Source organism: Homo sapiens, chromosome 3 (genome assembly GCF_000001405.40).
Source record: "Homo sapiens chromosome 3, GRCh38.p14 Primary Assembly".
Lineage (NCBI taxonomy): Eukaryota > Metazoa > Chordata > Mammalia > Primates > Hominidae > Homo > Homo sapiens.
Window position 1 is genome coordinate 121189252 of NC_000003.12, and position 25406 is coordinate 121214657.

Consider the following 25406-nt stretch of genomic DNA (forward strand, 5'->3'; position numbering starts at 1 on the left):
TTTGTTGCCATTGCTTTTGGTGTTTTAAACATGAAGTCCTTGCCCATGCCTATGTCCTGAATGGTATTGCCTAGGTTTTCTTCTAGGGTTTTTACTGTTTTAGGTCTAACATTTAAGTCTTTAATCCATCTTGAATTAATTTTTGTATAAAGTGTAAGGAAGGGATCCAGTTTCAGCTCTCTACAGATGGCTAGCCAGATTCCCCAGCACCATTTATTAAACAGGGAATCCTTTCCTCATTTCTTGCTTTTGTCAGGTTTGTCAAAGATCAGATGGTTGTAGATGTGTGGTATTATTTCTGAGGGCTCTATTCTGTTCCATTGGTCTATATCTCTGTTTTGGAACCAGTACCATGCTGTTTTGGTTACTGTAGCCTTGTAGTATAGTTTGAAGTCAGGTAGCGTGATGCCTCCAGCTTTTTTCTTTTGACTTCAGAATGTCTTGACAATGCGGGCTTTTTTTGGTTCCATATGAACTTTAAAATAGTTTTTTTTGTTTGTTTGTTATTTGATTCCCTTTATTACATTAAATTATACATTTGACTCATTTTTCCATAATGAATAATTTGCGTGTGAATAAAATGACCAACTTAAAATAAACAAATAAAAAGTATGTATTCACTAACAGTTATATTATAAATAAGTACATTCATAATCAATCTCTCATTATTCCTGTTCCTCTCTTTCATAGAAAGCACTTATAAGTGTAATCGATTATATCTTTAAGCATCTTGGCATTCTGAGGTTTATAGATTAATTGGGGAAAACTGTCCATTTTAATAAGCTTTGGTTTTTTGTCCCTTTTTTTTTTAATTTTTTTAGTATTTATTGATCATTCTTGGGTGTTTCTCGGAGAGGGGGATTTGGTAGGTTCATAGGACAATAGTGGAGGGAAGGTCAGCGGATAAACATGTGAACAAAGTCTCTGGTTTTCCTAGGCAGAGGGCCCTGCGGCCTTCCGCAGTGTTTGTGTCCCTGGGAACTAGGGATTAGGGAGTGGTGATGACTCTTAGCGAGCACGCTGCCTTCAAGCATCTGTTTAACAAAGCACATCTTGCACCGCCCTTAATCCATTTAACCCTTAGTGGACACAGCACGTTTCAGAGAGCACGGGGTTGGGGATAAGGTTATAGATTAACAGCATCCCAAGGCAGAAGAATTTTTCTTAGTACAGAACAAAATGGAGTCTCCTATGTCTACCCCCTTCAACACAGACACAGTAACAATCCGATCTCTCTTTCTTTTCCCCACATTTCCCCCTTTTCTATTCGACAAAACCGCCATCGTCATCATGGCCCCTTCTCAATGAGCTGTTGGGTACACCTCCCAGATGGGGTGGCGGCCGGGCACAGGGGCTCCTCACTTCCCAGACGGGGCAGCCAGGCAGAGGCACCCCCCACCTCCCAGATGGGGTGGCTGGCTGGGCGGCGGCTGCCCCCCACCTCCCTGACGGGGCGGCTGGCCGGGCGGGGGCTGCCCCCCACCTCCCGGATGGGGCAGCTGCCGGGCGGAGGGGCTCCTCAATTCCCAGATGGGGCGGCTGCTGGGCGGAGGGGCTCCTCACTTCTCAGACGGGGCGGCCAGTCAGAGATGCTCCTCACCTCCCAGACGGGGTGGCGGCGGGGCAGAGACACTCCTCAGTTCCCAGACGGGGTCACGGCCGGGCAGAGGAGCTCTTCATATCTCAGACGGGGCGGCGGGGCAGAGGTGCTCCCCACATCCCAGACGATGGGCGGCTGGGCAGAGACGCTCCTCACTTCCTAGACGGGATGACTGCTGGGAAGAGGCGCTCCTCACTTCCCAGACTGGGTGGCCAGGCAGAGGGGCTCCTCACATCCCAGACGATGGGCGGCCAGGCAGAGACACTCCTCACTTTCTAGACAGGGTGGCGGCCGGGCAGAGGCTGCAATCTCGGCACTTTGGGAGGCCAAGGCAGGCGGCTGGCAGGTGGAGGTTGTAGCGAGCCGAGATCACGCCACTGCACTCCAGCCTGGGCAACATTGAACACTGAGTGAGCGAGACTCCCTCTGCAATCCTGGCACCTCGGGAGGCTGAGGCTGGCAGATCACTCGCGGTCAGGAGCTGGAGACCAGCCCGGCCAACACGGCGAAACCCTGTCTCCACCAAAAAATATGAAAACCAGTCAGGCGTGGAGGCGCACGCCTGCAATCCCAGGCATTCGGCAGGCTGAGGCAGGAGAATCAGGCAGGGAGTTTGCAGTGAGTCGAGATAGCTGCAATACAGTCCAGCCTCGGCTGGGCATCAGAGGGAGACTGTGCAAAGGGGAGAGGGAGAGGGAGAGGGAGAGGGATAGGGAGATAGTTTTTTTTTCCAATTCTGTGAAGAAAGTCATTGGTAGCTTGATGGGGATGGCATTGATTTTCACAATATTGATTCTTCCTATCCGTGAGCATGGAATGTTCTTCCATTTGAAGAATTCTCCAACCCGAATGTCCATCAGTGATAGACTGGATTAAGAAAATGTGGCACATATACACCATGGAATACTATGCAGCCATATAAAAGGATGAGTTCTTGTCCTTTGCAGGGACATGGATGAAGCTGGAAACCATCACTCAGCAAATTATTGCAAGGACAGAAAACCAAACACAGCACGTTCTCACTCATAGGTGGGAATTGAACAATGAGAACACTGGGACACAGGGTGGGGAACATCACACACAGGGGCCTGTTTTGGGGTGGGGGATGGGGGGAGGGATAGCATTGGGAGATATACCTAATGTAAATGATGAGTTAACGAGTGCAGCACACCAACATGGCACATGTATACATATGTAACAAACCTGCACATTGTGCACATGTAGCCTAGAACCGAAAGTATAATTAAAAAAAGCTGATAAGCAAATTCAGCAAAGTCTCTGGATTCAAAATCAATGTGCAAAAATCACAACCATTCTTATACACCAATAACAGACAGAGAGCCAAATTATGAGTGAACTCCCATTCACAATTGCTTCAAAGAGAATAAAACACCTAGGCATACAACTTACAAGTGATGTGAAGGACCTCTTCAAGGAGAACTACAAACCACTGCTCTAGGAAATAAAAGGGGACACAAACAAATGGAAGAACATTCCATGCTCATGGATAGGAAGAATCAATATCATCAAAATGGCCATACTCCCCAAGTTAATTTATAGATTCAATGCCGTCTCCATCAAGCTATCAATGACTTTCTTCACAGAATTGGAAAACACTACTTTAAAGTTCATATGGAACCAAAAAAGAGCCCACATTACCAAGACAATCCAAAGCCAAAAGAACAAAGCTGGAGGCATCATGGTACTTGACTTCAGACTATACTACAAAGCTACAGTAATCAAAACAGCATGGTACTGGTACCAAAACAGAGAGATAGACCAATGGAACAGAACAGAGGCCTCAGAAATAACACCACACATCTACAACCATCTCATCTTCAACAAACCTGACAAAAACCAGCAATGGGGAAATGATTCCCTGTTTAATAAATGGTGCTGGGAAAACTGGCTAGCCATCTGTAGAGAGCTGAAACTGGATCCCTTCCTTACACTTTATACAAAAATTAATTCAAGACGGATTAAAGACTTAAATGTTAAACCTAAAACCATAAAAACCCTAGAAGAAAACCTAGGCAGTATCATTCAGGACATAGGCATGGGCAAGGACTTCATAACTAAAACACCAAAAGCAATGGCAACAAAAGCCAAAATTGACAAATGGGATCTAATTAAACTAAAGAGCTTCTGCACAGCAAAAGAAACTGCCATCACAGTGAATAGGCAACCTACAGAATGGGAGAAAATTTTTACAATCTACCTATCTGACAAAGGGCTAATATCCAGAATCTACAAAGATCTTAAACAAATTTACAAGAAAAAAACAAACCACCCCATCAAAAAGTGGGCAAAGATATGAACAGACACTTCTCAAAAAAAGACACCTATGCAGCCAACAGACACATGAAAAAATGCTCATCATCACTGGCCGTCAGAGAAATGCAAATCAAAACCACAGTGAGATATCGTCTCACACCAGTTAGAATGGCGATCATTAAAAAGTCAGGAAACAAGAGGTGCTGGAAAGGATGTGGAGAAATAGGAGCACTTTTACACTGTTAGTGGGAGTTTAAATTAGTTCAGCCATTGTGGAAGACAGTGTGGTGATTCCTCATGGATCTAGAGCTAGAAATACCATTTGACCCAGCCATCCCATTACTGGGTATGTACCCAAAGGATTATAAATCATGCTAATATAAAGAAACATGTACATGTATGTTTATTGTGGCACTACTCACAATAGCAAAAACTTGGAACCAACCCAAATGTCCATCAATGATAGACTGGATTTAGAAAATGTGGCACATATACACCATGGAATACTATGCAGCCATAAAAAAGGATGAGTCCATTTTCCTTTGCAGGGACATGGATGAAGCTGGAAACCATCATTCTCAGCAAACTATCACAAGGACAGAAAACCAAACACCGTATGTTCTCACTCATAGGTGGGAATTGAACAATGAGAACACTTGGACACAGGACAGGGAACATCATGCATGGGGGCCTGTCATGGGGTAGGGGTCAGGGGGAGGGATAGCATTAGGAGAATACCTAATGTTAATGATAAGTTAATGAGTGCAGCAAACCAGCATGGCACATGTATACCTATGTAACAAACTTGGACATTGTGCACATGTACACTAGAAGTTAACATATAATAATAATAATAATAATAATAAAAAGAAATTTTAGATGCTTGCTTTAGTAAATGTTTTATTGAAATAAAATGACATATCCTACAATTTACCCATTTAAAGTATATGATTCAATGATTTTGAGTATATTCAGTGAAGTTTGTAACCATCACCAAATCAATGTTACGATATTTTCATTACTCTAAAAAGAAACCACGTACCTATTACCAGTTACTCCCCTTTCTCTCCAAACCTTGCAACCCTAGGCAATAACTACTTTAGTCTCTGTGTGTATGAATTTGTTTGTTATAGTCATTTCAAAGCAATAAAACCATACAATATTTGGCATTTTGTCACTGGCTTTTTTCTCTTAACAAAATTCTTTCACGATTCATTCATGTCGTATGAGTACTTTATTCCTATTTATTGGTGAATAAGATTCCATTTTATCATATTTTATTTATTTATTTTTCAGTGCTTTTTGAGGCCTAGGCAGGAGGATTGCTTGAGCCCAGGAGTTCCAGGCTGCAGTGAGCTATGATCATGCCACTGCACTCCCTGCCTTGAAAAAAAAAAAGTAACTTTGTGTTTAACATTTAGAGGACATAACAGACTGCTATAAGAAGTGGCCTCATAGAATGAGTTGGGAAGTGTTTCCTCCTCTTCTGTTTTTTTTGGAGGGTTTGTGAAAAATTGATACTAATTCTTCCTCAAATGTTGGGTAGAATTCAACAGTGAAGCCCTCTGGGCCTGGGCTATTCTTTGTGAGAGATTTTTCCAATTACAAATTCATTTCATTACTTGTTTTGTCTATTCATATCTTCTAAAGTCAGTTTTGATAGTTTGTGTTTTTCTAGGAATTTATCCATTTTGTACAGGTTATCTGATTTGTTGGAATATTGTTATTAATAATACTCCATTACAATCTTTTTAATTCTCTGAGATAGGTCCCTCTTTTCACTCTTTTTTTTTTTTTTTTTTTTTTTTTGAGATGAAGTCTAGCTCTGTCACCAGGCTGGAGTGCAGTGGCGAGATCTTGGCTCACTGCAACCTCCGCCTCCTACGTTCAAGTGATTCTTCAGCCTCGGCCTCCCGAGTAGCTGAGACTACAGGCACACGCCACCATGCCCAGCTAATTTTTGTATTTTTTTTAATACAAAATTTAGACGGGATTTCATTATGTTGGCCAGGATGGTCTCGATCTCTTGACCTCGTGATCTGCCCACCTCGGCTTCCCAAAGTGCTGGGATTACAGGTGTGAGCCACCGTGCCCGGCCTTTGCTCTTGATTATAATAATGTTAGTTTCTCTTCTTGTCTTGGTCAACCTAGCTAAAGTTTTGTCAACCGTTTTGACCTTTTCAAAGAAGCTGCTTTTTTCCAGCTTTATTGAATTATGAGACAAAAATTGAATATATTTAAGGTATACAACTCAATATTTTATATAAATTAACATCCATCGCGTCACATAATTGTCATTTTCTTCCTTCTCCCCTCCCCTGCTTCACCCTCGCAACCACCATTCTACTTTCTCTAAGTGTATTTCCACTTTTGCATATGTGAGATAATGCAATATTTGTCTTTCTGTGTCTGAATTGCTTCACTTAGCATAATATCCTCCAGGTTCATCCAAGTTGTCATAAATGTCAGGATTTACTTTATTATAAAAGCTGAATAATATTTCAGTGAATTAGTGTGTGTATGTGTATCACATTTTCTGCTTTAGTAAACTAATAGATTGCGTGACTCATCCAAGGACGAAGTCAGTGAGCAGTGGGGACAGGACTACAGCTCAAATCTCCTGGTTCCCATCAACAATACCTGCTTTCCAATCCCTAATGATGCCATTAGGATGGGAGAATGGTGGAACCTGCAGGGAAGAGAAGGAGACTGGGCACACAGTAGGATCCAAGCCCTGGCCCTGCCCCCTGGGACACATTTGTCACTCTATTGCTTGTTTTCTTTGCTCTGCAAATGCTTTTTAGTTTGATTCAGTCCCACTTAACTTTGTAATATATTTTGAAATCAGAAAGTGGGATGCCTCCAGCGTTGTTATTCTTGTTCAATAGTACTTTGGCTATTTGGGGTCTTTTGTGGTTTCATGTGAATTTTAGGATTTTTTTTTTCTATTTCTGTAGAGTATTTCTTTGGTATTTTCATAGGGATTTCATTGAATCTATAGATCAGTTTGGATAGCATGGGGATTTTAACAATATCAATTCTTTTTTTTTTTTTAAGACAGTCTTTCTCTCTCACCCAGGCTGGAGTGCAGTGGCACAATCTTGGCTCACCGCAACCTCTGCCTCCCGGGTTCAAGCAATTCTCCTGCCTCAGCCTCCCATGACATGCCTGGCTAATTTTTTTTTGTATTTTTAGTAGAGATGGGATTTCATCATGTTGGTCAGGCTGGTCTCAAACTTTTTACCTCAGGTAATCCACCTGCCTCGACCTCCCAAAGTACTGGGATTACAGGCATGAGCCACCGCACCCGGCAATATTAATTCTCCCAGTCCATAAAAACGGAGGTCTTTCCTTTTATCTGTGTTCAAAGAACCAACTTTTAGATTATTTGCTTTTGTATATATTTTTTCTTTAATACTTCATTAATTTGTGCTATAATCTTTATTTCCTTTTTTCTGTTTGCTTTCAGTTTAGTTTTTTTTATTTTTCTATATTTTAATGTGAATGGTGAGGATATTGATTTGAGGTAATTTTGTTTTCTTTTTTCCTTGTTTTGAGACAGGGTCCCATTCTGTCACGCAGGCAGGAGTGCAGTGGCATGATCATGGATCACGGCTCACTGCAGCCTCAACCTCCCTGGCTCAAGTGATCCTCCCACCCGAGCCTTTCAAGTAGTTGGGACTACAGGCCTTTGCTACCATGCCCAGATTATTGATTGATTGATTGATTGATTGATTGATTGAGACAGGGTCTACCTATGTTGCCCAGTCTGGTCTCAATACCCTGGACTCAAGCAATCTTTCCACCCCAGCCTCCCAAAGTGCTGGGATTTCAGGTGCAACCCACTGGGCTCAGCCTTTTTTTCTTTTCTTTTCTTCTCTTTTCCTTTCTTTAACATACTTGCTTATGGCTATAAATTTTCCTCTCAGCATTGCTTAAGCTGCATACTGGAGTTTTTAGTATGTTATATCTTCGTTTCATTCTTCACAAAGTATTTTTCGTTTCTTTCGTTTGTTATTCAGTCAGATGTTAGTATAGCCACTGAAGATTCCTTACGGCTGCTATTTCCATGTTATGTCCTTTTTTATGGTTTGCTTTAAACTTTTTTGTATCTTTGATCAAAGCGTGTCTCCTGTAGAAAGCATATAGTTGGATACTATTTGCTTGTTTTGTGCAGTCATACTATATCTTCCTTTTGATTGGAATGTTTAATCAATTCACATTTAGTGTTATTGTTGGTACTGTTAGATTGATGTCTGTAAATTTAGTTTTTATTTTCCATATGTTCATGCCTTTTTTCCTTGTACTCCTCCTTTACTGATTTTTTAACATTAAATGAATATTTTTAAAAAATTTAATTTCTATTTATTTATTTATTTACTTTAAGTTCTGGGATACATAGGCAGAATGTGTAGGTTTGTTACATAGGTATACATGTGCCATGGTGTTTTGCTGCACCTGTCAACCCATCATCTAGGTTTTAAGCCCCGCATGCATTAGGTATTTGTCTTAATACTCTCCCTCCCCATCACCCCTACCCCACAGCATGCCCCAGTATTTGATGTTCCCCTCCCTGGGTCCATGTGTTCTCATTGTCCAACTCCCAATTATGAGTGAGAGTTTGGTTTTCTGTTCCTATTTAAATTTGCTGAGAATGATGGCTTCCAGCTTCATCTATGTCCCGGCAAAGGACATGAACTCATTCTATTTTACGGTTGCATAGTATTCCATGGTGTATATGTGCCGCATTTTCTTAATCCAGTCTATCACTGATGGACATTTGGGTTGGTTCCAAGTTTTTGCTATTGTGAATAGTGCTGCAATAAACATATGCATGCATGTGTCTTTATAGTAGAATTATTTATAATCCTTTGGATATATACCCAGGAGTGGGATTGCTGGGTCAAATGGTGTTTCCGGTTCTAGATCCTTGAGGAACCAAAACACTGTCTTCCACATTGATTGAAGTAATTTACACTGCCACCAACAGTGTAAAAGCATTTCTATTTATTCACAGACTCACCAGCGTCTGTTCTTTCCTGACTCTTTAATAGCCATTCTAACTGGCGTGAGATGGTATCTCATTGTGGTTTTGATTTGCATTTCTCTAATGACCAGTGATGATGAACCTTTTTTCATATCTTTCTTAGCTGCATAAATGTCTTTTGAGAAGTGTCTGTTCACATACTTCTCCCACTTTTTGATGGTTTTTTTTTCTTGTAAATTTGTTTAAGTTCCTTGTAGATTCTGGATATTAGACCTTTGTCAGATGGATAGCTTGTAAAAATTTTCTCCCATTCTGTTGGTTGCCTGTTCACTCTGATGATAGTTTCTTTTGCTGTGCAGAAACTCATAAGTTTGATTAGATCCCATATGTCAATTTTGGCTTTTGTTGCCATTGCTTTTGATGTTTTAGTCATGAAGTCTTTGCCCATGCCTATGTCCTGAATGGTATTGCCTAGGTTTTCTTCTAGGATTTTTTATGTGTTTAGGTCTTACATTTAAGTCTTTAATTCTTCTTGAGCTAATTTTTGTATAAGGTGTAAGGAGTAGGTCCAGTTTCTGTTTTCTGCATATCGCTAGCCAGTTTTCCCAGCACCATTTATTAAATAGGGAATCTCTTCCCCATTGCTTGTTTTTGCCAAGTTTGTTGAAGATCAGATGGTTGTAGGTGTGTGGTATTATTTCTGAGGTCTTTGTTCTGTTTCATTGGTCTATATATCTGTTTTGGTTCCAGTACCATGCTGTTTTGGTTACTGTAGCCTTGTAGTATAGTGTGAACTCAGGTAGCGTGATGCTTCCAGCTTTGTTCTTTTTGCTTAGGAGTGTCTTACCTATACGGGTTATTTTTTGGTTCCATATGAAATTTAAAGTAGATTTTTCTAATTCTGCAAAGAAAGTCAAAGGTAGCTTGTTGGAATTTCATTGAATCTATAAGTTACTTTGAACAGTATGGCCATTTCACAATATTGATTCTTCCTATCCATGAGCATACAATTTTTTTCCGTTTGTTTGTGTGCTCTCTGATTACCTCGCAGTGGTTTGTCATTCTCCTTGAAGAGGTCCTTTACGTCCCTTGTAAGTTGTATTCTTAGGTATTTTATTCTCTTTGTAGCAATTATGAATAGGCGTTCACTCATGATTTGGCTCTCTACTTGTCTATTATCGATGTATAGGAATGCTTGTGATTTTTGCACACTGATTTTGTATCTTGAGACTCTGCTGAAGTTGCTTATCAGCTTAAGGAGATTTTGGGCTGAGATGATGGGGTTTTCTAAATATACAATCTTGTCATCTGCAAACAGAGACAATATGACTTCCTCTTTTCCTAACTGAATACCTTTCATTTCTTTCTCTTGCCTGATTGCCCTGGCCAGAACTTCTAATACTATGTTGAATAGGAGTGGTGAGAGACCGCATCCTTGTCTTGTGCCAGTTTTCAAAGGGAATGCTTCCAGCTTTTGCACATTCAGTATGATATTGGCTGTGGGTTTTTCATAAATAGCTTTTATTATTTTTACATATCTTCTATCAATACCTAGTTTATTGAGAGTTTTTATCATGAAAGGATGTTGAATTTGATCAAAGGCCCTTTTCTGCATCTATTGAGATAATCATGTGGTTTTTGTCATTCGATCTGTTTATGTGATGGATTATGTTTATTGACTTGTGTATGTTGAGCTAGCCTTGCATCCCAGGGGTGAAGTCGACTTGATCTTGGTGGGTAAGCTTTTTGATGTGCTGCTGGATTTGGTCTGCCAGTATTTTATTGAAGATTTTTGTATTGATGTTCATCAGGGATATTGGCCTGAAATTTTCTTTTTTTCTTGTGTTTCTGCCAGGTTTTGGTATCAGGATGATGCTGGCCTCACAAAATGAGTTAGGGAGGAGTGCCTCTTTTTCTTTTGTTTGGAATAGTTTCAGAAGGAATGGTTCCAGCTCCTCTTTGTACCTCTGGTAGAATTTGGCTGTGAATCCATCCGTTCTTGGACTTTTTTGGTTGGTAGGCTATTAATTACTGCCTCAATTTCAGAGCTTGTTATTGGTACATTCCAGGATTTAACTTCTTCCTGTTTTAGTCTTGGGAGGGTGTATGTGTCCAGGAATTTATCCATTTCTTCCAGATTTTCTAGTTTATTTGCATAGAGGTGCTAATAGTATTCTCTGATGGTAGTTTGTATTTCTATGTGATCAGTGGTGATATCCCCTTTATCATTTCTTATTGCATCTATTTGATTCTTCTCTCTTTTCTTCTTCATTAGTCTAGCTAGCAGTCTATTTTGTTAAGCTTTTCAAAAAACCAGCTTCTGGATTCATTGATTTTTTGAAGAGTTTCTCATGTCTCTGTCTCCTTCAGTTCCACTCTGAACTTAGTTATTTCTTGTCTTGTGCCAGCTTTTGAATTTGTTTGCTCTTTCTTCTCTAGTTTTTTTCATTGTGATGTTAGTGTGTTGATTTTTTATCTTTCTTGCTTTCTGATGTGAGCATTTAGTGCTATAAATTCTGCTCTTAACACTGATTTAGCTGTGTCCCAGAGATTCTGGGTTCGTTGTCTCTCTCTTTGTTCTCATTGGTTTCAAATAGCTTATTTATTTCTGCCTTAATTTTGTTATTTACCCAGTAGTCATTCAGGAGCAGGTTACTCAATTTCCATTAGTTGTGTGGTTTTGAGTGAATTTCTTAATCCTGAGTTCTAATTTGATTGCACTGTGGTCTGAGAGACTGTTTGTTATGATTTCCATTCATTTGCATTTGCTGAGGAGTGTTTTGTTTCCAATTGTGTGGTCAATTTTAGAATAAGTGTTATGTGGCACTGAGAAGAATGTATATTCTGTTGATTTGTGGTGGAGAGTTCTGCAGATGTCTATTAGGTCTTCTTGGTCCAGGGCCAAGTTCAAGTCCTGAATATCCTTGTTAATTTTCTGTCTTGTTGATCTGTCTAATATTGATAGTGGGGTGTTAAATTCTCCCACTATTGCTATGCAGGAGTCCAAGTCTCTCTGTAGTCCTCTAAGAACTTGTCTTATGAATCTGGGTGGTATATTGGCTCATATCCCAGTATGTGGATACCACTGTATTGGGAGCATATATGTTTAGGATAGTTAGCACTTCTTGTTGCATTGATCCCTTTACCATTATGTAATGTCCTTCTTTTCCTTTTTTGATCTTTGTTGGTTTAAAGTCTGTTTTATCAGAGACTAGGATTGCAACCCCTACTGTTTTTTGCTTTCCATTTGCTTGGTAAATATTCCTCCATCTTTTTATTTTGAGCCTAAGTATGTCTTTACATGTGAGATGGGTCTCCTGATGCAGCACATCGATGGGTCTTGATTCTTTATCCAATTTATCTGTCTTGTCTTTAATTGGAGACTTTAGCCCATTTACATTAAATGTTAATATTGTTATGTGTGAATTTGATCCTATAATTATGACGCTAGCTGGTTATTTTGTACATTAGTTGATGCAGTTTCTTCACAGTGTCATTGGTCTTTATATTTTTGTATGTTTTTGCAGTGGCCGTTACTGGTTGTTTTTTTTTTTCCATATTTAGTGCTTCCTTCAGGAGCTCTTGTAAGGCAGACCTGGTGGTGACAATATCCCTCAACATTTGCCTTGTCTGGAAAGCATTTTATTTATGTGCTTATTAAGCTTAGCTTGGCTGGATATGAAATTCTCGTTTGAAAATTATTTTCTTTAAGAATGTTGAATATTGGCCCCCTCCTGGGTTCAAGGGATTCTCGTGCCTCAGCCTCCCGAGTAGATGGGATTACCGGCACGTGCCACCACACCTGGCTAATTCTTGTATTTTTAGTAAGGACAGGGTTTCACCATGTTGGCCAGGCCGGTGTTGAACACCTGACCTCAGGTGATCCACCTACCTTGGCCTCCCAAATTGCTGGGATTACAGGAATCAGCCATTGTGCTCTGCTCTTCTTCTCCTTTTTTTGTCCAATTTTTTGTTATATGTTTTATATCTATATGTGCTGCAAATCCAATAATACATTATTTAAATTAAATTATTATTAAATCTTATATAATTGTATGTCTTTTAAGAATGTTGACAAAAAATGTAGATCAAGTATATATTCACAGAATCTGTTACATTGATGTTTTTGCTTATCATTTTTGGTTTTCTTCATTTGTTGCTGTAGATTCAAATTACCAACTGGTATCTTTTCCTTGTTCCAATACAGCTTTGCTCTCACCCACCTTCTTTTTCTTGTTATTGGCAAATATATATACAGATCTCACAATACAATTATATACATATTGTTTTATATAATTGATTTTTAAGTCAGTTAAGAGGTGGTTGGAGAATACATATGCAATTATGTCATTGTAATTATCTACCTAGTTACCTTTACTGGTACTCTGTTCTTTGTGTAGACTTAAATTACTTGCTGGGTCACTTTCTTTCAGCCTGAAGGACTTTTTTTAGTATTTTTTGTAAGATAGCTCTGTTATCAACAAATTCTCTCAGTTTTTGTTTATCTTGAAATTATCTTTATTTCATCTTTATTTTTGAAAGACAGTTTTGCTCAACATAAGACTCTTGGTTGGCAGACTTTTTTTCTTCTACTATTTTAAATATGTCATATCACATTCCATTGCCTTTCAGCCTCCATTGTTTCTAAAAGTTAGCTGTTAATCTTAATAGGGTTCTTTTGTACACACTGCTTTCAAGGTGTTTTATTTTTTTTTCTTTTAAGCATGTTTACTGGGATGTTTCTGAGTAGAGATTTCTTTATCCTACTTGGAGTTTATTGAAATTCTTAAAGCATAGATAATGTTTTTTTCAAATTTAGGAAAGTTTTCAACCATTATTTTAAAAAATGTTTGTATTCCTTTCTTTCCTTTTCTTCTATTTCAATTATGTATATTCTTGTGATTAACAGTATTCCATATTTCTTTGAGATTGTTCATACTCCTTCATTCTTTTTTTCTGTTTTTTTTTTCTGTGCTATTGCAATAATCTCTGTGTTCTTCCAGCATCAGTCTCTTACACCCTCAAAATTGCTCTATTAAATGAAGACACATTAATATTTTTGAAACATTGCTTTACACTCATCACTCCCTAACTTGAAAGCTTCTCATAACTCTCCATTGTCTATACTGAAAATAAGTTTAGAGATTGCCATTGATTGGCTATTTTGTACCTCATTAACATTATTTCCCCTATTTCCCTTCACAAATCTTTTAATCTAGTCAAATTGGCCTGTCAGTAAAACCAGTTTTAATCTCAACCTCTACAGCACTTTATGCTTATCACTCATTTCATTATAGTACTTCATATTGTCATTTTTACTTATTTTTTAATACAGTGAATTTTAAGCCTCTGGAATTCAGTTGTTTAATACCCTAACACTTGGTACACTACTCTGAATGTTAGGAATAGTAAGAAATATAATTGTCGATAATGTTGTGATACACAACATGACATTTAATCATGTTTCAATTAGTGACAGTCAATAAGTATAATCAAAGCACAAAAATTCTCTCCCAAGAATAAATTGGTAGAGTTGGAAATTGAAGGAAAATGTTAACTTAACAAGTAATTATATAATTATTCTTTCCCACTGAAATCAATTGATGACTCTGATGTATATTGATTAAAAATGCTTTAATATGTACAAACAACTGCAAATATACTGTTTTGTTCAATTAATGGTTTGACAATTTAGTGAAGTGCTGGATGGAAAAGACATATAAACTAAGGGGAGTGGATCTCTCCCCTGGCTGTGTCACTTTTTTATTTCTCTCTATTCCCACATCATTACCAAAGCCAGTAATCTCCAACCATCTATTTCTCAATCTTAAGACTATTGTTCAGGGCTGGGCTTGGTGGCTCATGCCTGTAATCCCAGCACTTTGGGAGGCTGAGAACAGGTGGATCACGAGGTCAGGAGATTGAGACCATCCTGGCTAACACGGTGAAATTCTGTCTCTACTAAAAATACAAAAAATTAGCCGGGCATGGTGGCACACACCTGTAGTTCCAGCTACTCGGGAGGCTGAGGCAGGAGAATCACTTGAACCCAGGAGGCAGAGGTTGCAATGAGCCAAGATCGCACCACTGCACTCCAGCCTGGGTGACAGAGCGAGACTCTGTCTCAAAAAAAAAGACTATTGTTCAGACAAGTTCCTGAGCAAAAGTTTTCTCTTTCTAAGACATCATGATCTACATATAATGTTAGCAATTCTATTTTACATATGGCACAGTATGTATATTTTTGTACAGTGTGAATGATTATGGTCAATTTTTTATTATTTTTTTCTTCTTTAGTCAACATAGGGTAAAATAAAGAAAAGGCAATTTCAGAAAGCATGCCAAGCAGCAGATATTGATTTGTTGTTTGTTAATTCCTTGCCCTTTAAACAAGTTGAATAAAGCTATCTTGATATCCTATTTGGATATGCTTATGTTATTCTGAAGCTAATCTGAAAATTTAAAGCTATATGCATGTAAACTTCTATGTAATAGATATGTAATAGATAAACAATGTATTACATAGGTATCTATGTAATAGATAATGTATTACATAGGTATCTATGTAATAGATAAACAACTGTGGTAATACAAGAATAAATAAGGGTACTTACTGAAAATAAAAAAGAAACAAATATTGCATTTCAGAACACAAGCCAGTTTAACCAAAATGAGAAAGAATTAAACTGAAAGCATAACTAGAAAGATAAGCATGTTATGTGCAGAAGTAGCTTCATTTCTATTTCCTTCTCTTTTTGATCCTTTATTCAAAATCTTAGGGAGTCTAAACAGAATAACCCATCCCCTATAAGAAATTATCATTTTTGTTTTATGCAAAATGAATACATCATTAAAATGATTTTTAAAAATCATGAAATGTAGTATCTGTGTTCATTGTCTAATGGAAGTTTTTAAAAATGTATTTGATAGAATAATTTTAATAGTTCATTGTATGCTTTAAATAGCAAGTATTTCTCTGTATGAAAGGAGTTTGCATGTATTATAGATAAAATATTGATCCTAGTATGGATTGTCATTGTTGTCCTAGTCTGTTTCATGTTGCTGTAACAGAATACTACACACTACGCAATGTATAAACAATAGAGGTTTATTTGGCTTATGATTCTGGAGGCTGTAAAGGCCAAGATTGAGGGGCAACATCTGATGAGGGACTTCTTACTGTGTTATAACATGGTGGAAGGTATCACATGTTGAGAGATGTGCAAGAGAGGGAAGGGGGCTGATCTAATCCTTTCATCAGAAACCCACTCCCATGATAACCAACCCACTCTCACAATAACTGTATTAATTCATCCATGAGGGCAAAGCCCCCATGTCCTAATCACCTCTTAAAAGTCTCATTCTCAATACTGTTGCATTGGGGATTAAGTTTCCAACACATGAATTTTGGGGGACACATTCAAACCATAGCAATAGTAATACATTTCATTATGTAGATAAGTATGTATGTGTGGTCTTCAATTCTAAACTTATTTTGTCTTCAAACTTTAATAATTAAAATAACTCCACATGAAATTAGATTTATGTGTGAAGGATGTAAAGTGATAAAAGTTATATAATTTTACAGGTAATTTTATGAATTATATAGCAGACAATTATTGCAACTCTAAAGATTGTTTACAAATTCAACAAAAATATTGGGATTCATAGATATAAGTTTATCCTATTATGACAAACATAGAATTAACATTATTATTCCTTTATCTTTAAATTCCCTTAGTCAAATTTTTTAATTCTTACAGATGAATATAATTTAAATTAGATTCAATTAAATATTTTTTTTCTTTAGGAAAAAGTCAAAGAGAAGGAAGAAAATCTGAATCTTGTAAACCAATTCTTAAAGTAGAATACAAGACCTGCAAAAACAGGTATGCATTTTTACTTTAGGGAAAGAGGGATACGAAGCAGAGACAAAAAATGCAGATGACCTTTAATGTTAAGATATTGTTTAAAGTTTTACAAAATTGTAAAGACAACTGAATCCTCAATATTAACATAATTGACTTGTCTCATAGACATATCTCTGATGATTATTATTATGATTATTATAAATTACAAGTGTTAATTATTTCAGGATTCTTAATGAACATTTAGACAAGTATTATACACATTAATTTTAACAGTAAAGGACTTCTGGCCATGCATATTACAAGTAGCAGGATTTATTAAGCAGAAGCAATGTGCCCGTTAATATTGCATGTGAAAGACTTAAATACATAACCAAGTGTCTATACTTTAAGATCTTACATTCTGAAGTTGGAAGATTACAGTTTGTTCGAAAGATAAAGTTGTGTATATTAATGTAATAAAAAGTACTAAATTTTAAGGTGTTGAAAAATACAAAAATAATAATATTTAGTAAAATATTATTTTGTGTTTAAAGTAGCTATATCCGGCTGGGTGCCCTGCCTCACGCCTGTAACCCCAGCACTTTGGGAGGCTAAGGCGGGTGGATCACCTGAGGTCAGGAGATCGAGACCAGCCTGGGCAACATGGCAAAACCCTGCCTCTGCTAGAAATACACAAAAAAATTAGCTGGGCATGGTGGCATGTGCCTGTAATCCCAGCTACTTGGGAGGCTGAGGCACAAGAATCCTTTGAGCCCAGGAGGTGGAGGTTGCAGTGAGCCAAGATGCTGCCACTGCCCTTCAACCTGTGCAACAGAGCGAGACTCTGTCTCAAAAAGAAAAAAAAGTAGCCATATCCTATAAATCAACAAGTTCCTTTTACTTGGCAATAATAATTAGTGGCAATACACTCATTGAGAATTACCATAATAAATCTTGCCTAAACATTAAATTTATTTTAATTCAAATTAAATAATCCTAGTTTATATTAATAATATGAACATTTTATAATGTTTTCTTGGTATCATAGGTATACTGAATGTTTGTTTATAACTGCTCTTTTAAAATTTTAATAGTACAAAATTATGCTCATTTTTAACCTGTTATTTTATCTATATATAGATATCTCTTTAGCCTACTATGCATTCACTGATAAAAATGAACACTGTTTGAACAGAGCCCTCAGAAATAACACCACACATCTACAACTATCTGATCTTTGACAAACCTGACAAAAACAAGAAATGGGGAAAGGATTCCCTATTTAATAAATGGTGCTGGGAAAACTGGCTAGCCATATGTAGAAACCTGAAACTGGATCCCTTACTTACACCTTATACAAAAATTAATTCACGGTGGATTAAAGACTTAAATGTTAGACCTAAAACCATAAAAACCCTAGAAGAAAACCTAGGCGATACCATGTAGGACATAGACGTGGGCAAGGACTTCATGTCTAAAACACCAAAAGCAATGGCAATAAAAGCCAAAATTGACAAATGGGATCTAATTAAACTAGAGAGCTTCTGTCTGGTGAAAGAAACTACCATCATAGTGAACAGGCAACCTACAGAATGAGAGAAAATTTTTGCAATCTACTCATCTGACAAAGGGCTAATATCCAGAATCTACAATGAACTCAAACAAATTTACAAGAAAAAATCAAACAACCCCATCAAAAAGTGGGTGAAGGACATGAACAGACATTTCTCAAAAGAAGACATTTATACAGCCAACAGACACATGAAAAAATGCTCATCATCACTGGCCATCAGAGAAATGCAAATCAAAACCACAGTGAGATACCATCTCACACCAGTTAGAATGGCGATCATTAAAAAGTCAGGAAAAAGCAGGTACTGGAGAGGATGTGGAGAAATAGGAACACTTTTACACTGTTGGTGGGACTGTAAACTAGTTCAACCATTGTGGAAGACAGTGTGGCGATTCCTCAGGGATCTAGTACTAGAAATACCATTTGACCCAGCCATCCCCTTACTGGGTATATACCCAAAGGATTATAAATCATGCTGCTATAAAGACACATGCACATGTATGTTTATTGCAGCACTATTCACAATAGTAAAGACTTGGAACCAACCCAAATGTCCATCAGTGATAGACTGGATTAAGAAAATGTGGCACATATACACCATGGAATACTATGCAGTCATAAAAAAGGATGAGTTCATGTCCTTTGTAGGGACATGGATGAAGCTGGAAACCATCATTCTCAGCAGACTATCCCAAGGGCAGAAAACCAAACACCACATGTTCTCACTCATAGGTGGGAACTGAACAATGAGAACACTTGGACCCAGGAAGGGGAACATCACACACCGGGGCCTGTCATGGGGTGGGGGGAGGGGGGAAGGATAGTATTAGGAGATATATCTAATGTAAATGAGGAGTTAATGGGTGCAGCACACCAACATGGTGCATGTATACATATGTAACAAACCTGGATGTTGTGCACAAGTACCCTAGAACTTAAAGTGTAATAGTAAAAAAATACTAATAACAAAAAAACCCACTGTTTTATACCATTATAACTAAAGTATTAGAAAGTTTCAAATTTAATCATTATTAATGGAAATATGAAATATATGACATATATTTTGCCTCTTGAAATATTACTTATAGTTTAAGCTTTGCTTGAGTTTTCAGGTTCAACATTATTTACAATATTTCTTATGTGGTATTGCACTTCAAGGATTATTAAGGTGCAGGACACTATATTAACTGTTCCTAGCAGCTTGTGGTATTATTTTATGGGTTTTTTTCACATTATATATAGTTTATTATACTTTAAGTTTTGGAATACATGTGTAAAAAGTGCAGGTTTGTTACATAGTTATACACGTGCCATGGTGGTTTGCTGCACCCATCATCTACATTAGGTATTTCTCCTAATGCTATCCCTCCCCTAGCCTCCCAACCCCCACAACCCCCAACAGGCCACGGTGTGTGATGTTCCCCTCCCTATGTCCATGTATTCTCATTGTTCGATTCCCAATTATGAGTGAGAATATGCAGTGTTTGGTTTTCTGTTCCGGTGTTAGTTTGCTGAGAATGATGGTTTCCAGCTTCATCCATGTCCCTGCAAAGGACATGAACTTGTCTTTTTTAATAGCTGCACAGTATTATTCCATGGTGTATATGTGCTACATTTTCGTTATCCAATCTATCATTGATGGGCATTTGGGTTGGTTCCAAGTCTTTGCTATAGTGAATAGTGCTGAAGTAAACATACATGTGCATGTGTCTTTATAGTAGAATGATTTATAATCCTTTGGATACATAACCAGAAATGGGATTGCTCGGTCAAATGGTATTTCTGGTTCTAGATCCTTGAGGAATCGCCACAATGTCTTCCACAATGGTGGAACTAATTTACACTCCCAACAACACTGTAAAAGCATTCCTATTTTTTTATGTTTTTTTATTTTTTATTTTTATTTTATTATTATACTTTAAGTTCTAGGGTACATGTGCACAACGTGCAGGTTTGTTACATATGTATACATGTGCCATGTTGGTGTGCTGCACCCATTAACTCATCATTTACATTAGGTATATCTCCTAATGCTATCCATCCCCTCTCCCCCCACCCCATGACAGGCCCCAGTGTGTGATGTTCCCCTTCCTGTTTCCAAGTGTTCTCATTGTTCAATTCCCACCTATGAATGAGAACATGCAGTGTTTGGTTTTTTGTCCTTGTGATAGTTTGCTGAGAATGATGGTTTCCAGCTTCATCCATGTCCCTACAAAGGACGTGAACTCATCCTTTTTCATGGCTGCATAGTATTCCATGGTGTATATGTGCCACATTTTCTTAATCCAGTCTATCACTGATGGACATTTGGGTTGGCTCCAAGTCTTTGCTATTGTGAATAGTGCTGCAATAAACATAACGTGTGCATGTGTCTTTATAGCAGCATGATTTATAATCCTTTGGGTATATACCCAATAATGGGATGGCTGGGTCAAATGGTATTTCTAGTTCTAGCTCCTTGAGGACTCACCACACTGTCTTCCACAATGGTTGAACTAGTTTACAGTCCCACCAACAGTGTAAAAGTGTTCCTATTTCTCCACATCCTCTCCAGCACCTGTTGTTTCCTGACTTTTTAATGATCGCCATTCTAACTGGTGTGAGATGGTATCTCATTGTGGTTTTGATTTGCATTTCTCTGATGGCCAGTGATGATGAGCATTTTTTCATGTGTCTTTTGGCTGCATAAATGTCTTCTTTTGAGAAGTGTCTGTTCATACCCTTTGCCCATTTTTTGATGGAGTTGTTTGTTTTTTTCTTGTAAATTTAAGTTCATTGTAGATTCTGGATATTAGCCCTTTGTCAGATGAGTAGATTGCAAAAATTTTCTCCCATTCTGTAGGTTGCCTGTTCACTCTGATGGTCGTTTCTTTTGCTGTGCAGAAGCTCTTTAGTTTAATTAGATCCCATTTGTCAGTTTTGGCTTTTGTTGCCATTGCTTTTGGTGTTTTAGACATGAAGTCCTTGCCCCTGCCTATGTCCTGCATGGTATTGCCTAGGTTTTCTTCTAGGGTTTTTATGGTTTTAGGTCTAACATTTAAGTCTTTAATCCATCTTGAATTAATTTTTGTATAAGGTGTGAGTAAGGGATCCAGTTTCAGGTTTCTACATATGGCTAGCCAGTTTTCCCAGCACCATTTATTAAATAGGGAATCCTTTCCCCATTTCTTGTTTTTGTCAGGTTTGTCAAAGATCAGATAGTTGTAGATGTGTGGTATTATTTCTGAGGCCTCTGTTCTGTTCCATTAGTCTATATCTCTGTTTTGGTACTAGTACCATGCTGTTTTGGTTACTGTAGCCTTGTAGTATAGTTTGAAGTCAAGTAGTGTGATGCCTCCAGCTTTGTTCTTTTGGCTTAGGATTGTCTTGGCAATACGGGACCTTTTTTGGTTCCATATGAACTTTAAAGTAGTTTTTTTCAATTCTGTGAAGAAAGTCATTGGTAGCTTGATGGGGATGGCATTGAATCTATAAATTACATTGGGCAGTATTGCCATTTTCACAATATTGATTCTTCCTACCCATGTGCATGGAATGTTCTTCCATTTGTTTGTGTCCTCTTTTATTTTGTTGAACAGTGGTTTGAAGTTCTCCTTGAAGAGGTCCTTGACATCCCTTGTAAGTTGGATTGCTAAGTATTTTATTCTCTTTGTAGCAATTGTGAATGTGAGTTTACTCACGATTTGGCTCTCTGTCTGTTATTGGTGTATAGGAATTCTTGTGATTTTTGAACGTTGATTTTTTATCCTGAGACTTTGCTGATGTTGCTTATCAGCTTAAGGAGATTTTGGGCTGAGACGATGGGGTTTTCTAAATATACAATCATGTCATCTGTAAACAGGGACAATTTGACTTCCTCTTTTCCCAATTGAAAACCCTTTCTTTCTTTCTCCTGCCTGATTGCCCTGGTCAGAACCTCCAACACTATGTTGAATAGGAGTGGTGAGAGAGGGCATCCCTGTCTTGTGCCAGTTTTCAAAGAAGCATTCCTATTTTTTCTACATCTTCTCCAGCATCTCTTATTTCCTGACTTTTTTTCTTTCTTTTTTTTTTTTTTTTTTTGAGACAGAGTCTCGCTCTGTCACCAGGCTGGAGTGCAGTGGCGTGATCTCAGCACACTGCAACCTCTGCCTCCGGGGTTCAAGCGATTCTCCTGCCCCAGCGTCCTGAGTAACTGTGACTACAGGCATGTGCCACCATTCCCAGCTAATTTTTGTATTTACTTTAGAAGAGACAGGGTTACACCATGTTGGCCAGGATGGTCTCCATCTCTTGACCTCGTGATCCGACCGCCTCAGCCTCCCAAACTGCTGGGATTACAGGAGTGAGCCAACATGCTGGCCTGTTTCCTGACTTTTTAAGGATCGCCATTCTAACTGGCATGAGATTGTATCTCATTGGGGTTTTGATTTGCATTTCTCTAATGACCAGTGTTGATGAGCTTTTTTTCATGTTTTTTGGCCGCATAAATGTCTTCTTTTGAGAAGTGTCTATTCATATACTTCGCCAACTTTTAGATGAGGTTGTTTGTTGTTTTCTTGTAAATTTGCTTACGTTCCTTGTAGATTTTGGATATTAGCCCTTTGTCAGATGGATAGATTGCAAAAATATCCTCCCATTCTGTAGGTTGCCTGTTCACTCTCATGATAGTTTCTTTTGCTGTACAGAAGATCTTTACTTTAATTAGATCCCATTTGTTAATTTTGCCTTTTGTTGCCATTGCTTTTAGTATTTTAGTTATGAAGTGTTTGCCCATGCCTACATCCTGAATGATATTGCCTAGGTTTTCTTCTAGGGTTTTATGGTTTTAGGTCTTAAGTTTAAGTCTTTAATCCATCTTGTGCTAATTTTTATATAAGGTATAAGGAAGGGGTCCAGTTTCAGTTTTTTGCATATGGCTAACCAGTTTTCCCACCACCATTTATTAAATGGGGAATCCTTTCCCCATTGCTTGTTTTTGTCAGGTTCATCAAAGATCAGATGGTTGTAGATGGGTGGAGTTATTTCTGAGGACTCGGTTCTGTTCCATTGGTCTGTATATCTGTTTTGATACCAGAAGCATGCTGTTTTCGTTACTATAGCCTTGCAGTATAGTTTGAAGTCAGGTAGCATGATGCCTCCAGCTTTGTTCTTTTTGCTTAGCATTGTCTTGGCTATACAGGCTCTTTTTTGCTTCCATATGAAATTTAAAGTAGCTTTTTCTAATTCTGTGAAGAAAGTCAATGGTAGCTTGAGGGGGATAGCATTGAATCTATAAAGTATTTTGAGCAGTGTGGCCATTTTCGTGATATTGATTCTTCCTATCCATTAGCATGGAATGCTTTTCCATTTGTTTGTATTCTCTCTTATTTCCTTGAGCAGTGGTTTGTAGTTCTCCTTGAAGAGGTCCTTCATGTCCCTTGTAAATTGTATTCCTAGGTATTTTATTCTCTTTGTAGCAATTGTGAATGTAAGTTCACTCACGATTTGGCTCTCTGTCTGTTATTGGTGTATAGGAATTCTTGTGATTTTTGCAAATTAGTTTTGTATCCTGAGACTTTGCTGAAGTTGCTTATCAGCTTAAGGAGATTTTGGGCTGAGACAATGGGGTTTTCTAAATATGCAATCATGTCATCTGCAAACAGAGACAATTTGAATTCCTCCCTTTCTATTTGAATACCCTTTATTTCTTTCTCTTGCCTGATTGCCCTGGCCAAAACTTCCAATACTATGTTGAATAGGAGTGGTGAGAGACCTCATCCTTATCTTGTGCCTGTTTTCAAAGGGAATGCTTCCAGCTTTTGCCCATTGAGTATGATATTGGCTGTGGGTTTCTCATAAATAGCTCTTATTATTTTGAAATATGTTTCAATACCTAGTTTATTGAGAGTTTTTAGCATGAAGGGGTGTTGAATTTTATCAAAGGCCTTTTCTACATCTATTGAGATAATCATGAGGTTTTTGTCATTAGTTAGTTCTATTTATGTGATGGATTACGTTTATTGATTTGCATACATTGAATCAACCTTGCATCCCAGGTATGAAGCCAACTTGATCGTGGTGGATAAGTTTTTTGATGTGCTGTTGTGTTCGGTTTGCCAGTATTTTATTGAGGATTTTTGCATTGATGTTCATCAGGGATATTGGCCTGAAATTTTGTTGTTGTTGTTGTGTCTCTGCCAGGTTTTGGTATCAGGATGACCCTGGCCTCATAAAAAGAGTTAGGGAGGAGTCTCTCTTTTTCTATTGTTTGGAATAGTTTCAGAAGGAATGGTACCAACTCCTCTTTGTACCTCTGGTAGAATTCGGCTGTAAATCCATGTGGTCCTGGGCTTTTTTGGGTTGGTAGGCTATTAATTACTGCCTCAATTTTAGAACTTATTTGTTCAGGGATTTGAGTTTTTCCTGGGTTAGTCTTGGGAGGGTATATGTGGTTAGGAATTTATCCATTTCTTCTAGATTTTCTAATTTATTTGCATAGAGGTGCTTATAGTATTCTCTGATGGTAGTTTGTATTTCTGTGGGATCAGTGATGATATCCCCTTTATCACTTTTTATTGTGTCTATTTGATTCATCTCATTTTTCTTATTTATTAGGCTGGCTAGTTGTCTATGTATTTTGTTAATCTTTTCAAAAACCCGCACCTGGATTCATTGATTTTTTTTGAAGGGTTTTTCATGTCTCTATCTCCTTCAGTTGCACTGTGATCTTAGTTATTTCTTGTCTTCTGCTAGCTTTTGAATATGTTTGCTCTTGCTTCTCTAGTTCTTTTAACTGTGATGTTAGGGTGTCAATTTTAGATCTTTCTTGCTTTCTCCTGTGGGCATTTAGTGCTATAAATTTCTCTCTAAACACTGATTTAGCTGTGTCCCAGAGATTCTGGTACATTGTGTCTTTGTTCTCATTGGTTTCAAGGAAATTATTTATTTCTGCCTTAATTTCATTATTTACCCAGTTGTCATTCAGGAGAAGGTTGATCAGTTTCCATGTTGTTTTGTGGTTTTGAGTGAGTTTCTCAATCCTGAGTTCTAATTTGATTGCACTGTGGTCTGAAAGACTGTTATGATTTTTGTTCTTTTGCATTTGCTGGGGAATGTTTTACTTCCAATTATGTCATCAATTTTAGAATAAGTTCATTGTGG

General features: G+C 37.8%; 1 protein-coding gene across 14 annotated transcripts in view; it reads left to right on the forward strand.

Moving 5' to 3' along the window:
- The window catches only part of STXBP5L (syntaxin binding protein 5L), a 516557-nt gene that overhangs the window by 281047 nt on the left and 210104 nt on the right, over positions 1-25406 (forward strand). For all 14 annotated transcript variants that reach the window (NR_145516.2, XR_924217.3, XR_001740373.2 and 11 more), the window contains one exon: positions 16672-16750. Coding sequence is in view for 11 of the 14 variants with exons in the window: in NM_014980.3 (NP_055795.1) it covers positions 16672-16750 (79 nt within the window). In the remaining 3 variants the exon portion in view is untranslated. The remainder of the gene's footprint in view (positions 1-16671; positions 16751-25406) is intronic.